Source organism: Homo sapiens, chromosome 3 (genome assembly GCF_000001405.40).
Source record: "Homo sapiens chromosome 3, GRCh38.p14 Primary Assembly".
NCBI classification, from domain to species: domain Eukaryota; kingdom Metazoa; phylum Chordata; class Mammalia; order Primates; family Hominidae; genus Homo; species Homo sapiens.
The window spans coordinates 69,530,070-69,546,359 of NC_000003.12; the positions used below are offsets into that span (position 1 = coordinate 69,530,070).

A 16,290-nucleotide genomic window follows, 5' to 3' on the forward strand; every position below is an offset into this window, starting at 1 on the left:
AAACCGGAATACAGCCACACCCATTAATTTATGTATTGTCTGCAGCCATTCTTGCCCTACAAAGACAGAATTGAGGAGGTGCAATACAGGCCATAGGGCCCACAAAGCCTATTTTATTGAGTGCTGTAGCTTTGATAAGGGTTGTTTGTCCCCACCAAATCTTATATTGAAATTTAATCCCTGATGTTGGAGGTGGGTCCTGATGGATAGTGTTTGTGTCATGGGGATGGATCCCTCATGAATAGATTAAGGCCTTCACTCAAAGGTGAATGAGTTCTCACTCTATTGGTTTTCACAAGAGCTAGTTGTTAAAAAGAGTCTGGCATGCCCCAACCCTCACCTCTTCCCTCCTCTCTCATCATGTAATCTCTGCACACACCAGTTCCCATTCCCTTCTACCATAAGTGGAAACAGCCTGTGGCTCTGACCAGATGCAGCCCAATCTTGGACTTTCCAGCCATCAGAATCATGAGTCAAATAAAACCTCTTTTTTTTTTTTTAATAAATTACCCAGCCTCAGGTATACCTTTATAGCAACACAAAATGAACTAAGACGTTTAGTATCTGGCCCTCCACAGAAAAGGTCTGCCAACTTCTGCATTACAGAATTGCCACGCTTTCCTCTGACTGCAAGTTTCTTGATTATGCTGCTTAATCATAATGCAGAAAATCCTATAATCCCTCCCAAAGCCTTAGCATACACAGTGATGAATTCACAGGTTAGACTTCTAGAAACGGCAACCGTGCAGATGTCTGGGAACCCAGAAATCAGCAAAAATGCCTTCAGAACTCCACTTAACGAAAAACATACCAATAATTTCCACAAAATAGGCACAGACCTAATCTCGGGCCCTTACCTGGGCAAAGGCTTTTAAAGCAACCGGACAGACAGAAATACCCAAAGAGGGGCAGAGAGGAGAAATAGAAGAAGTATAACTGGCAACAGGCATCTTGCAGTTAGAGAGACATGGATGCAAATCTCAACTCTACCACTTACTACTTATCCCTTAAACTTCAATTTTTACCTGTAAAGTAGGAGGAATAATAATGATCATTTCTTGGAGTGGGGTGGATGGTTTAGCCAAGATTATAATGTATATGAATTCTTAGCATCCTGCCTGGGATTTGCTAATGACTCAGAGGAGCTATATTATTAGTAATAATGGTAACTCTAAAAGAATATGGATCTGTGACTATTCACATACAGGCTCTCAATCCCACACAATTCAGCTGTCAATAACAGGATTACGGCACAGAACAAAAAGCAATCTTTATCATGATAACCCCAAGTCAAGAAAAGATGTAGCCACATTTATATGTACCAAGCAAAAAAAAAGGAAAGAACCATGTGCCATGTTTTCATCAAAGAAAGTTTAAGCAAAGAATAATGTGTGCACAAAGAGGTAAGCTTCAATTACCTGGAAAAATCACTTAAGTGAAACAAATCACTTATTCCTTGACAACACTATGTAAATGAAACTGTACATGGGGCGGAAAAAATGTTTGCATTGTAGGCTCTGCAAGATGACAAAGTTACATTTCCCACTCATCATTTAGTGAAAGCATCTATCGAATAGCATGAACCTTTGCTGACAAACTGCCAATTTTTAAATACCCTTTATCAGCATCATTTTCATAGCTTTTCTCTGAGATCCAAAAAAGACCAAAGATCAGTTTCCAGTATGCTTTTCCAAGTGTAATCAAGCTCAGTGCTAGAAAGTACAATGAGAACCACTCATTATCTGAACTGTTTAAAGCAGCTGAATCATTGCAAAAACAATTTCTTCTTCTTAATATGTTTGAATCAAACTTTTGACCTCTAGTAAACTGGATGCCCCATTCTTTCAGGCAGTAAAAGAGCAGCTAGACTGGGAACCTGGAGGTATATAAAACACTACACTACTTTTTTTCTCTTAAAAATACAAATTGAATTACTTTAACATAGTTGGAGCAAATGACCATGATATGTCCTCAATTTAAGTCTTACAGCCCAACTGGGATGGCGTTCTGTGTTCCCAGTCTAAGGGCACATGGTTTTCATTAGTTTGTCAGGATTCTGCATTTCAATTTGCACATTTAAATAAATGCAGTTAGTTCATTCGTGATGGCCCCACATACCCTTATCTTTTCTGATTTACTGAATAAGCCACACTCTCTTAATGTTTTGAGATTTGTCTAAATACTAAAAGGTTATTTGATATGACAAGTTACAACAAATACCACTTTTACTGCATGACAAATAATTATACTGAAACTTTCCACTGATACACTTCCACTGATACACTGCTTAGGAAGCCTTTTAAGTGCATCTATCTGACATTTAAAAAAAAATTAAAGTGAGACTAGTGCAGCTGACACAGACAAAGTGCAGGGTGCACACTTCTGGTTGTTCATAGCATAAATGTTTAAAGGTGGAAGGATCTCAAGTGTCAATACCCATTTGACAAATCCAGAGAGCTAATAAGCAGGTTTCTGGTCAGTCTGCTGCCAAGGTAGGATCAGAACTTGGCCTTCCTGGTTGTTGATCCAGTGCCAATTTCAGCTCCCCTCTCTCCCCAGCCCCTCCTTTATCTGACAGAACTCGGGTTGAGTATTACACTTGGATGAAGCAGGGCCAAAGCTGGCCATGCAAGCTTTGTGCCTGTCCCGCATTCTGGTCACATATGAGCCTTCTGCTCTTTTGCAAAGACTGAATTGATGGGATGGGCTCAGTCAGGTGCAACAAGGGAAGCCCGACAACAATCCTCAGCCACATCCATTGTTGGGTCCCCCACTGACACTGTCGGCTGTTATAAGCACCAGCTAGAAGATGGATGCTGGTATTTCCAGAAAGACCTTTTGAATCAGGAGGGGCTGTGACGGGCCCCATGCTGTGGCAAGAGCATAATTATTTCCAATAACTGTCTGTCTAGGCTACTTAGTGATTTCCAAAGCCAAGCTCCTCCTCACTGTGACAACACATTCAGTGTTTATTTGAGGGGCAGTTTTACAATGCCAAAAATTCCACTCTGGTAATAGTTTAGTCAGCAAGGCAGAAAGGAATGACATTTTTTATAAATAATGATTAAGGACAACCTATTTGATAACTTTGGATGCTTGTTCAGGATCTGTTGTAGGGGGCAATAGTCTCATTTGGAACAAGATGAACCATTAGAATCTTCTGTGAGGCAGGCTCTTGGGAGAGAAAGGCAAGCTCTCATGCTGTGACTGTCAAGGACAACAAAAAGCAGAGACTCTTGCAACATGGTGGCAAAGAGCACAAACTCCATTCTGAGTTTGAATTGCAGGTGTGTCACTTACTAGCTGTGTGATTTTGGACAAGTCACTTGCCCACTCCAAGCCTCAGTTTCCACTTCTGCAGAATGTGGGTTATTGTGGGTCATTGTGGTGATGGAATGAAATGCTGCTTGGAAAGTACTTGGCAAATGCCTGGCACCTGGCACTTATAGGGGCTCAATAAAAGGTAGCCATTATCATCAGACACCAGTTAGTGGGGCTTGTGCTTTGAAAAGGGAACTTATTCTGATCCAACATTCCATGCTGATTCTCTGCGTTAATCAGATTGTTGCTGAAATCTCCACTTTGGCCTTTTTTGAGTCTTTCCTGCAACTTCTGTCCTTCCTCCTACTTATCAAATGCTCTGGAACTCTCCACCTGCTGCTGCAAATCTTTCAGGCCCAAGCGCAGTACCATCCCATGCACCCCCTGCTACCATGCCACTGCAGCAACTCCAGACAGATCACCATACCTCTCATTGGTGTCTGGATAGGAGAGTTCACCTTCCATGTTCATTCACATCCCATGTTCATTCACATCTCCTCTTCCTAACATGATTACGCATCTGGGAGACCGGGATTTGCCTTACATATCCTCCACAGCACTCAATACATGCCCAAGAATCTTCCAGGTTCCCTGATCCCTTGCTACACAAAGTGAGGTCCACAGACCAGCACCGTTGGCATCACCTGGAGCTTGTTAGAAATGCAGTCTCAGGCCCCGTACCAGATCTACTGAATCAGAATCTGATCCCCAAGTGGTTTGTGTGCACCAAGTTCAGGAAATATCCCTCTAGTCCAGTATTTCCCAGACTTCAGTCATTCACATCTTCCCTTCATAGGTTTTGCCATTTTCCAGTACAATCTACACTATGTTTTACCTAATACATATTTTTACACTGACACTATTTCTTTCTCAGCCTCATCCTAAGCAATACTATTCAATCAGCAAGGGAGAAAGGAATATAATCTTTTACAAGACATGAAGGTCTAGGTGAATTTTTTTTCTGGTACACATTAAAATAAATAGTCAATAAGGTAAAATGTTTCTCTATCTATCATCTAAAATTAACTCATGTACCACCAGGGATACACCTACCCACTTTAGTAAACACAGCTCTAGACTTTTTGTAGCTGGATTAGAAGACATCTAAGTCCAGTGCTCCTGAACTGTATCTGTGCCTACTCAGCATGGTTACCCTATGGGGTGAATGCATTTGTCTTCAAGACAGAGATGGTTGTGGGAGGCTGAAAACCTGGGTTCTAGCCCTGCACCATCCCTTAATGACTTGTCATGTCACAGACTCTCTTTGGGGCTCATTTTTATGGGTTAGCTCATCTCAAGGCTCCCTTCCAAGTCAAAAAATATGACATTATAATTATGAGATCAAAGGCTTTGGAGTCAGAATGACCTGAAGTTAAAATTAAAGCTCCATTACTTGTTAATTTCATTAAATCTCAGTTTTCCTCATCTGTCAAATGGACAATAAGTGGACATAACATCCATCTGAAAGGATTTGTAAGAAGAAAGAAAACAACTGAAAAATGCCTAGCTTAAAATGTGGCACATAGTTGGTGTTCAACAAATAATATGAATTATTATTTTTTCCTAGCCTCCACAAAGCACAAATAATAATAGCTAGAATTTTTTTTAGTATTTACTCCACAGCAGTCACTACATGAAACACTTCTTTATATTTTGTCATTTAATCCTCCAAATAACCTGATGAGGTAGGAATTCTTATAATCCCCACTTTATAGATGAAGAAACTGAGGCACAAAAAAAGGTTAAGTCACTTGGTCAAAGCACACATTTAGTAAGCAGCAAAGATAGATCTGAGTGTAGATCCTCTGAAGCTACAACCAGTATTCACAACAATGACCTGTCCTGCCTTCTTATAAAATACTAGTCAACATGCAGACTTTGCCAACTCAACAAATATTATGTGATTTTGGCCAAGTGGCAACCTCACAACCAGTTTCCTTGGCTGTACAGTGAGGGGTGTTAGGAGTCCCCACCTCATAGGGTGCGGTGAGCATTGAATGAGGGCACCCTCATGGACATCACAGAGCAATTCCCAGCACAGGTGAATTGGTAACCATGTGCTGCTATCGTTACCATTAGTTCTACTATTATTTGTTGAGCCTTTACATCTGCACAAGATTTTGTGTGTGTGGTGGGGGTGGCGGGCCAGGGCAGAAGAAACAAAAGTCTTTATTGATAAATAGCTTACAATGAAATAAATAAAGCAGTGGTTTGCTGAAGAATAAAAATCAGGGCAGTGGCTCGGTCTCTCCGCCCCTGCCTCCGGCCCTAGGATACAGCCCTCTGGCTAGATACGTCAGATGAGGAGACCGTAATGGGCAGTCCAGCCTTTCACGGGCACTTGGGGGTCTCTGTCTTCCTAGACAGGTGTGCAGGCACCACCTTGGACCCACTGCCCTTAGCAGGAGAAGCAGCCTTGGTGTTTGGCCCCTGGGCAGCTGCCCCTTTAGGAGCCTTGGTCTTGGCTACCACCTTCTGGTCGAGGAAGCAATGCCATTCTTGACCTTGCTGACAGTGGGTTTTGAACTCTTACTCCCAGCTTTCATTTTCCTGTGGTCCCCAGCATCTCCTTGGCTGCTCCTGCTGCCTCGGGCCTTTGCCTTCCTACTAAGCCCGCTGGCACTGGAAGGGACCTGCGTGGCCTTGTCTGGCTTAGGGGTGCCTTCCTAGCCTCACCGGGCTGTGGCCTGGTGTCCTTGCCCACACTGCCTTGCTTGCCGGCCTTCTCTGTGGCTGCACCTGGCTTGGGAGGAGCCTTCTGCACCTCTGCTGGCCTCTTCGCTGCCTTCTTCACCTTGCCCGCGTTAGGAGGATCCTCCTTGGCCTCACTTGGTTTCTTGGCGTCCTTCCCCTTGGCCTTTTCCGCTCTCCTGGGGACCATCAGGGGGCCATCTCCCTGGGCTGGATTTTCCTCTTGTGCTTGGGATCTAATTTGAAGCTGCCAGTGGCCCCCCTTGCTTCGGAGTTGAGGGGCCTGGCGAGGAGGCTGCGGCACATGCCAGTGGCCAGCGCCTGCTTCAGCAGATACCTGAAGCGGAGGACGTCCACCGTTGGGTACTTGTGCAGGATGTAGAGCTTGACGGCCACCGCCAACGTGCCCTAGCGCTACTCCCCAGCCTGCAGCGCCTCTACCACCGTGCGGGGGGTGGGGAATAGGGGGGATGGTGAGAGGGCAGGAGGCGGCATGCCACCGGGAAGCTGCTGCAGCTCAGGCCTGGCTTTTCAGATTCAGGAGACCTGGATGATCCTGCTGTGGAAGTCGAGGAGAGTGAGATGTCACTGGTGACACTCCCAGGAGGGGAGGCATCAGTAGTTTTATCCTTCAGTTATGGTAAGGACTTCCTCAGTTTAATTTTTTTAATTTTTTATTTTTTGAGACAGAGTCTTGCTCTGTCGCTCAGGCTGGAGTGCAATGGCACTATCACGGCTCACTGCAGCCTCAACCTCCTGGGCTCAAGTGATTCTTCCACCTCAGCCTTCTGAGTACCTGGGATTACAGGAATGTGCCACCACACCCAGGTAATTTTAAAAATTTTAAGTAGGAATGAGGTCTTCCTAGGTTGCCTAGTCTGGTCTTGAACTCTTGGGCTCAAGGAATCCTCCTGCCCTGGCCTCCCAAAGTGTTGGGATTACAGGCATGAGCCACTGCACCCCACCAGGAATTCTTTATCAGATAATTTAATCTATTAAATAGATGCCTAGTCACGGCCCCCTAAAATAGTAGCCTTTACACATGGGGTGGCCACATAATTTATCGTCCAAACTGAAGGCATAGACATTAACCAGGATTGACCCAGGGAAGCCAGCACGATCGCCCTGCTTCTAGGGCCCCTCTGCTGTGAGTGAACATTGTCCTCACAGCTGTACACACTAGGCCCCCTTTCCCACTGGAAAACTGTACGTAAAGTGACAGAGGACAATTAAAAGCAGCACATCTCTAAGGAAAAAATAACACAGACCCAAATAAAGACCTCAAGGCTGAAGAGCTGCAGAATAGAGCACTCATTTGCCCTAGGCTTTAAGGAGGTGTATTCTTCAAATACTTTGCTCTAAGACACTACTTAAATAACTGTTTTCACTAGATTAGCATGGCAAATTGATTCAAATAAATGTCTTCCAAGATTTGCACATAAATGAAAACAGGATCACGATCACCCCCTTGTAAGAGGTTTTGGGACTGTTGTGGGTTTTTAATCAATATATCTGCCTTTTTCTTCTCAGTGTCATTGGAAAATAAAGTAACTACTATCAATTTGACTTGTTCTGCATCTTGATCTCATAAGTCCTGATATTGACCACGCTAAAAGTGACAGCTAAGGTTTTCCTTATACACATGAAAAATCATATTGATAATCTATTTGCCTGAATACAATTCAGCTCATTTTCCATTATTTGGGGCATCAAAAAGAAGAGAAATCAGCCTGTGTGCATTAGGCACTTGTACCCTGTGGTGAACATTTATTCCAGACTTTCTTAGCCTTAATTTCCCCCTTTTCCTGCAACTGTATTCATGTGGCAGTCCAGCCCTTTGATGTCCTCTGTCTACATGGTCTGGGTAGGACTCCATTGCTGGGGCAAAGCCCTCAACCTCTGCAGAAGCCACTTAGCACAGATTTCCTCCAGCCGTGCCAACTGGGCAAATCATAGCTCATTTTGAAACTTTTTGTTCAACAACTGGGGAAGGGGAGTTCTTTGGTTGCTGGACTTGAACTTGAAACTGTGTAAACGAGCAAGTGCTATATGGTCGTCTTGTCACCCAAGAAGGACCCCAATACACAGAGGAAAGAAGAAAAAGGCAGACCTGAGGAATGAAAAGAAATCAGATCCTGAAGTCACTGTTTAGCCCTAAGCAAGACGCTCTTGAAGTCAGTCCTACCGAAGTACCTTTTAGTAACCTGAACCCATATGTAAGAAAAAAATATATATTGTATATATGCATATACATAATACCCTAATTCCACTTAAAATCGGGTTTGTAACTTATTAGCAAAATAGCACTAACAGACACATGCATCCTGTGGCAGTACTTTTCAAACTTTTTGATGGCTAAGAATCACATTTTATACTGCAACCCAGAATGCACATAGGAGTGACTCAAAGTCTCATGAAATTACAGAACTCTTATAACATATGATGATGCTGACACTTGCTGTCTTGTTATACCTAAAAAAAATTACTGGTAGTAACCCACTAAATGGATTTTATGACCTTCATATTGAAAAAACACTGTCTTATGAGATTAGTTTAAAAATTGATTTCACCAGGAAGCATGAGATAAAAAATGACATGATAATTTCAGTAAATCCAGTCATTGGGGAGAATAAGAGATTTGGCTCCTAAATTACCTAGAGGGTTTATCAAGCATCTAGCAACAGAAAATTGTTATCTTACCACTTCTCTCTGACTGCCCACGGCACATATTTGGCAGAAGAGGAGAAAAAAAAATCTTACTGACTTAGAAATAAATGAATTATCCTCCAAAAGTCTTCCATCTAAAACAAATAACAACTACATTGAAAAAGGGAGAGATATGTAAGTAAAGGAAGATACATGTAAGACCTGCTGATGAGCTGAGTACATTACTTATCTATAGGCTGATGACAGTCATTTCAGTGAGCCTCAGCACTCCCGAACATATAAAAATAGTGCATTCATGATAAGATCAGATCTCTGGGGCAGATTTAAAGGGAGAGATAGAGCGAGAGATCACTTGCAGTATAAGCCTCAAACCTTCACTTATGTGTGTAAGATAACTATGAAGATTTCCTGCTAGAAAATTACTGCAGGCTGGATAAGGCAGGGTGTTTTTAACTGTTTTCCATGTACCCTATTTGTATTGTAAGTTAGCCAAAACTTTCTTTTTGTCTGCTCAAAGCATGCAGAGTCTTGATTAAATCTGTGGAATCAAACGGAGAACTAGGATTCTCAGGCTTGCTGAAACTAGAGGCCAGCGACAATAAACATTACTGAGAAAACTTCAGCTGATTTGACACTTGGGAGTGGCTGTGAAGTTAACTCCTCCCACACTTTTCTAGATTAGGCTCAAATGCAACCATCTGCCTGTTTGAAAAGCCCATTCACTTTTCTGCCACTAAGATAGAAATTTATTAATTTCAAAACAAAGTGAAGTTTAATACAGGAAAACAGGATCGTGATCACCATGATCACTTGCAGGGGAAAAATCTTCTGAGAACTTTCCCATGGATAATGAAAACTAAACCTCAAAATACGGTATTTAGGTAATTTTTTCATGTTCCAGCACCATATTGTTTAAATGCATTACACCTGCATTTCTGAATTTAAGCAAATAAAATGGTTGATTAATATTACTTGCAGATGTCACAAAGAAGTGATTAAACTTCTACCATTCAGTAAGTCCTTGGAGTTGCCTAAATTTTTCTCAACCTTTTAGGAAATGTAAGCACTGTTCAAAAAAGGTGTGTTCAAACAGTGTGTGTGTGTGTGTGTGCGTGTTACTTTTTATTACAACATTTTCAGATTACAAAAAGGAAGAATTGGCCGGGCCCTGTGGCTCACGCCTGTAATCCCAGCACTTTGGGAGGCTGAGGCGAGTGGTGGATGGTTTGAAGTCAGGAATTCAAGACCAGCCCGACCAACATGGTGAAACCCGGTCTCTACTAAAAATACAAAAATTAGCCGGGCTTGGTGGCACATGCCTGTAATCCCAGCTACAAGGGAGGTTGAGGGAAGAGAATCGCATGGGCCTGGGAGGCAGAGGTTGCGGTGAGCCGCGATCGCGCCACTGCACTCCACTCTGGGTGACAGAGTTCGAAGGAAAAAAAAAGGAAGAATTGTAGAAACACCAATACATCCACCACCTGTCTTGTGACACTTAATTTAGAGACAAAAATATATACAGAGTGCTTACTGAGTGTCAATCTCTCTTAAATATCATCTTTTTAAATTTATTAAAAATATATAGGCCGGGTGCCGCGGCTCACCCCTGTAATCCCAGCACTTTGGGAGGCCGAGGCGGGCGGATCACAAGGCCAGGAGATGGCGACCAGCCTGGCTAACGCTGTGAAGCCCCGTCTCTATTAAAAATACAAAAAATTAGCCAGGCGTGGTGGCATGCGCCTGTAATCCCAGCTACTCGGGAGGCTGAGGCAGGAGACTCGCTTGAACTCGGGAGGCAGAGGTTGCAGTGAGCCGAGATCGGCCACTGCATTCTAGCCTGGGCGACAGAGTGAGACTCTGTCTCTAAAAAAAAAAAAAAAAAAAAAAAATATATATATATATATATATATATACACACACACACACACACACACACACACACACGGCAGTTATTGTTATTGTTATTATTTTCTTCATACTCATTACCACCACCACTGCAGCACATCCCTTTCGGAGGCACTGTCTTGTTAAGAGCCTGGCATCTGAAATTAGATCTTACATAAACCACAGATTACTGGTGGGACTTCCGGTAAGTTACTTAACCTCTCTCAAGGGCTAGGTTTACCACTTCATGGATTATGGATGATGCCCCAAAAGTGCCTACCAGGATGCCTGGCACACAGTAAGCTCTCTAAACCACCACTCTTCACAGCATGTGTATGACATATGAAAGTGCGTCTTGATGAGGTTAAGTAAGGCGAAGCTGCTTTTCTTCCCCTCTAGACATTTGATTTGGAAACCCCACAGATCCATTCCCTTTAGGACGGGAAACAGCACGTCGGGGATCGCGCTATAATCTTGTACACATCTTTCGAGTTGGCTAGTAAATTTCTGGGGCGACATTACCTAATCTTCAAGGATCAACCAGCTTCCCGGAAAGACTGCTGCCATCAGCACCCTAAGGTCTTTCTTCCCGAAAGGCCCAGCCTCTAGTCGCAGCCGTCTGGGTACCAGCAAACACACCAAATCAGTTCGCGAAGTTCAGAGGACTTGGCTCTGGTATGTTTACAAGTCCTAACAGATCGCAGGAATGTTCAGGATAATTATTACCCCACCCAGGAGCGCCCAGCCCAACCCTCTCACATCTGGAAGGAAGCGGCCACACAAAGGAGAGCGAGAGAGAGAGAGAGACCTCCTCCTGCGGCTGCTTTCTCAGGCGGGAGAAGATTTAATACACGTCTCACCCCTTTTGTGAACAAGAGCAGGCACTGTTCAGTATCCTTCAAAGCACAGGACATCCAATGCAAGGGAAGAGTTTGTCCTCTATTCCAAACGAAATGGCATTTCTCAAAGTAGGAGCTAAAGATTATATTTATTTTTTCCTCCCCAGATGAAAATGAAAAGTGAAATACTCCACAAAATAAGAAGCTATTCACATGCACACTGCCTCTCCAACATAGGAGCGGCTAGGATCTGAAACACCTATTTGAAAAGGGCAGCCAAACGAAACCCTTAGTGTCCTCTGCTAACTCCAGGGATTTCCCCCCCCTCTTTTCGCTGCCTTTTAGAAGTATCTCTGGGGGCCAGATCTGGGCTTCATCAGCTTTTCTCCCGACCTCCCACGAACGCGCGGCAACCGAAGCACGCGGTCCCCGGCGGCGCGTTTGCAAACCCCACCAACGCCAACGCCTCGAAACCGCCAAACTTCCTGTCTCCATACCACCAAAGCGACCAAAGCGCCGTGCCAAGTGCCCCAGGGACTCCAGCGGAGGCTGCACTAGACCTCGAGCCCCAGGGCGGGGTTTTCCGCTCTCCCAAACTCCTGGGACCCGCACCTCCGCTGGGGGTCTCCAAACGTGCGCGCTGCGCCCGGGGCGCACCGGGCGCGCCCGTGGCCGCGTCTTGCGGCCTCGCCCTGGCAGCACGCTTGGGGAGCCCGGGGCGGTCGCCCACCTACCTGCTCCGCCACCTCCTCCCTGCGGCGCTCCGGGGCTGTAGACGGCTACTTTATTGTCTCGGCTGCGCACCGCGCGGGACCTGGGGACCCGGCTCTGCGCCAGTCCTGCAAGTCCACTCTGCGCTGTGCCTTCCCCGGCGGCGGCTGCCTTCCTCTTCTTCCTCTTCCTCTCTGTCCAAGCTCCAGCTCAGCACGTGAGCTACGCAGCCCGACTCCCGGGCTCTCTGGGCAGCCAGCGCCTGCCGCATCCCCCGGCCCGGGTCTGCAGGTCGCCCCCGCCACCGCCGCTCGCCGTGCGTCCTCGCTTTGCTCCACACTTACAGCTGTGCCCCGGGCCGCCTTTCTCGCGTCCTTCCGTCCTGCCTGCCTCCTCTCGCTGTCAGCCGGGGCTTTCGGCTCCCTCTCTCCCCAGCAGCCCCCGCCCGCCGCCTCTCCGGGGGCTGGGGCGGCCGCTGCCAATGAGGCTCGGCTGATGCGCTGTTCCGGCCCAGTCATTGTATCGGGAGGGAAGGAAGGGGAGGGGGAGAGGGAGGAAGGGAGGGGGCGCCCTCGGCCCCCGCCGCACGGGGCTGCGGGCTGGGCTAGCCTTCCCCGGCAGAGAAAGGGCGCCGGTGCCAGGAGGCGCGGAGCGGTGCCTGCCAGGAGGAGGGGAAAGAGGGGGTCACCAGCCCGCGCCTCTCCATCGCTCCCTCCGACTCCTCCAAGCTCTGGGCGGAACTTGATTCTGCCTCACCGGCTTCAGGCATCCCAGGACCTGAGTGCTGTTAGAATAAAGGGTATGAGGCACCGGTGGCAGAGGGAGGCGCAGAATGCACCCAGCCACCCAAGAGGGGCTGGCGAAATGACTCCTGAGATCCCTGCAAATCTGAAACCATTGCACTTGAAGACAGAAAGAAAAAAAAAAAAAGGCGAGTCTATCCCATATCAGGCATTTATCCCTAAGAACAATTTTTGTTTTATTATGCGTTCTTTACATGAAACTCGGGAGGCTCAGAGAGGTTAGCTCAAAATAGCTGATGAGTGACAGGGCAGAGATTCCAACTTGATCTGGTGCTGAGTGTAACACAGCAAATGGGAGAGGAAGGAGAGGAAAGGAGGATTCTTCATGAACGACTTCCTATTGAGAGTTTTTATATTCTCTTCAAATGAGCTGACAAGGAGAGAACCAAAGGTGATCCGACAGGGCTGGGAGAAAATATTTCCCAAACAGCCTTAAATGTATGTCCCGTGACCAGACTTCACTTCTCCATACACCGTGAATTAATTTTTCTCTACACACTATGAATTAATTTATTTTAAAAAGCAAATCCATTTTTAAAAATAATTGTCTCACAACTACACAATCACATAGCTTTGGATTTTTGTTGAAAATTAAATTGATTTATCCAATATCAATATTTTAAAGACTCCACAGTTTCTGTGACCGTGGTTTTGGCCTTTCTTCCTCCTTCTCCTCCAACTTCCCCTACCCGTCTTTCTCCCCCTTCCTCCCTTCCTTTTTGACAGGTCACCAGCCTAGAAAAAGAATGGGGGCACGGGGCATCTTGATTTCACAGGCCCTGGTGTAGCTGCTACTGACATGAGGGAGCAAGTAGCAAGCAAGATCTGAAGTAGTAAAGGTTCAAGATAGCATGTTGCGGAATATTGTATGTGTGCAGAATGAGGTTTAATTACATTTGCTTCTGATGTTGAATGGATTGTTTGCTTTTAATTAAATAGAATATATTGAATGAATAGCTAACATTTATTGAGTGGTAATTACACGCCCGGCCTCCCCACCCTGTCCCCAAGACTTGAGCTAAATAAGCACTTCTCTTGGCATCATCTTATTGCGTTCTCCTGGGAGAATGGGAGTGGACTGAAAGCCCCCTGTGGCCAGGGTCTATGTTCGCCTTGTTCAGCATCAGGCACATAGCAATGGCTATTCAGTGTCAGTTGAGTTAAGGGAGCCCTGTTTTACTAAGGAGGAACCTGAGGCTCTGAGAGGTTAGTTGACCTGCCTGATAGTATGAAACTAGAAAGTGGCAGTGCCTATCTATAAATGCAGGTCTGGTAACTCGCTACCCGTTGCACAATACAATCTATTCAACAGGTATTGGAGCATAAGGACCCCAGGTAGGGGAGTGATGCAATGAATAATGGTTTGCCCAGTGCTCACAAATGCCACAATTTCTCCAGAGAGAAAATAAATACATGTAGCATAGTCATTAGAAAACACTACAGAGTGTAGGGCAAAATGGAACAATGCAGGTAAAATGCCCAGCTTAAGGCTGGGCATCTAAGAAGTGTGTGGCATTTATTATGTTTGGGGAAAAAACTGGATACAGACTATTACATGAAAATGCAATGTAAGAGATGTCAGAAAGGTTTATCTTTATTGGTGAGAGTAGTCCAGAAGAATTTCCTTGAAGATGTGGGATATTTACTGGATTTTCTTGGAGCAAAGGGGCTTTGGCTTAAAAATGGGGGCTCCAGGTTTGTTCTATGTGGGTTTGAAGCCCAGCTTTTCAAAATACTCAGCCTTTCTAGGCTTCATTTTCTTTTTCTGTTAAACAGGGTTAATAATAATGCATTACTTACAGGGGTATTGTAAGGATTAAATTAGTTAATATGTGGAAAGCATTTGGAATAGTGCCTCATGCATGATAAATGCTTAATAAATACTAGCTATTATTATTAAAGGACAGAGGCTGATTTCTTTCCAAATTCCATCTTCTGAAAAATAAATATTTATAGAATAAATATTTATAGAATAAATATTTATAGAATAAATATTTATGGAATATTTATGGAAAACAGCAAAATTAAAACCACAACACAATTGAACCTGCAAAAACTTTTTTTCCTTTATTTTATCCTAATATAGAATTATCAACCTGGCTGCATATTAGAGTTCTGGGGATGTTTTTTCTTTATTTGTTTGTTTGTTTTCAATACTGGAAACAATTATATTAGAATCTCTGGGGGTGGAGTTTGGGCATCAGGATTTTCTTAAAGCTTTGTAGGTGAAATCATTATACAGTAGGGATTGGAATCACCGAAATGTCCATAGGATGTCCGTAGGAACTACCTGAAACCTACTCATGGACTACGTATTTGGATTCTGTATTATAGACTTGGCTGCAGGAACCACATCCAGAGGGAAAACAACACATCCTTTACTTTTTGTGTGACTAGTAAATACCTAACTCTAGGATAGGTACTATGCCAAAACAAACAAACAAACACACAAAAAACTGCAACAAACAAGATAAAGGAAATGAGGTTTGTCATTCAGAAGCTCATAATTTAGTTGTTGTGATGAGACAAATATACATGGACAAAGTGACAGCAAGGAGGATGAAGAGGAAACAATTCTGTCTTGAAATATATAATTTCCAGGTGAAAAATCAGGGCCCACACACTGCTGTATATATAATAAAATAGTTTTGATGCAAGAGGGTGTTAGAAATTCCCCAGACCCCCATTTCAAGCCCTCAGTCTTATACAGTATGAAGGAGTGTGACATGAGATTCAGCTATTGAATTAATAAGAACATGTATCATAAATATTTTATTTTCTAAATTTAAAGTTATTTTTATATTTATTTATTTATATATCTGTACTAAGTATAGATATATGCTTATTGGAGAAGTTGTTTTTTTTTTTTTGTTTTTTAAGATGGGGTCTCACTCTGTCACCCAGGCTGGAGTGCAGTGGCGCCATCTCAGCTCACTGCAGCCTCTACCTTCCAGGTTCAAGCAATTCTCTCACCTCAGCCTCCCCAGCAGCTGGGATTACAGGGGTGTGCCACCTTGCCCAGCTAATTTTTGCATTTTTAGTACAGACAGGGTTTCACCATGTTGGCCAGACTGGTCTCGAACTCCTGATCTCAGGTGATCCTCCCACCTTGTCCTCCTAAAGTGCTGGGATTACAGGCATGAGCCACTGCACCCAGCCGAGAAGTTTTTGACAATATAAGAAATACATAAAGTAGAAATGAAAAATTATTTGCAAGTTCACTACTCTGAATAAGCATCTTTGACATACATAGTCCAGACTTTTAAAAATGTACATGCAAACACAAAACATACAAGTCATCTATTATATTGATATGCCATAATTTATTCACCCAAGCCAATTAGTTATCTTTGATTTTTATTTTTCTTTTATGT

At 44.2% G+C, this 16,290-nt stretch overlaps 1 protein-coding gene and 1 pseudogene across 5 annotated transcripts in view; both read right to left on the bottom strand.

Moving 5' to 3' along the window:
- The window catches only part of FRMD4B (FERM domain containing 4B), a 373,805-nt gene extending 361,288 nt beyond the window's left edge, over positions 1-12,517 (bottom strand). For 3 of the 5 annotated variants that reach the window (XM_017005993.2, XM_047447767.1, XM_047447771.1), the window contains exon 1: positions 12,137-12,517. The gene's annotated coding sequence lies outside the window, so the exon portion shown is untranslated. Of the gene's footprint in view, positions 1-11,085; positions 11,209-12,136 lie in introns of those variants that run through there. The other 2 variants (XM_047447769.1, XM_017005991.2) reach the window with 1 other exon arrangement.
- Positions 5,471-6,266, bottom strand: H1-8P1 (H1-8 pseudogene 1; annotated as a pseudogene).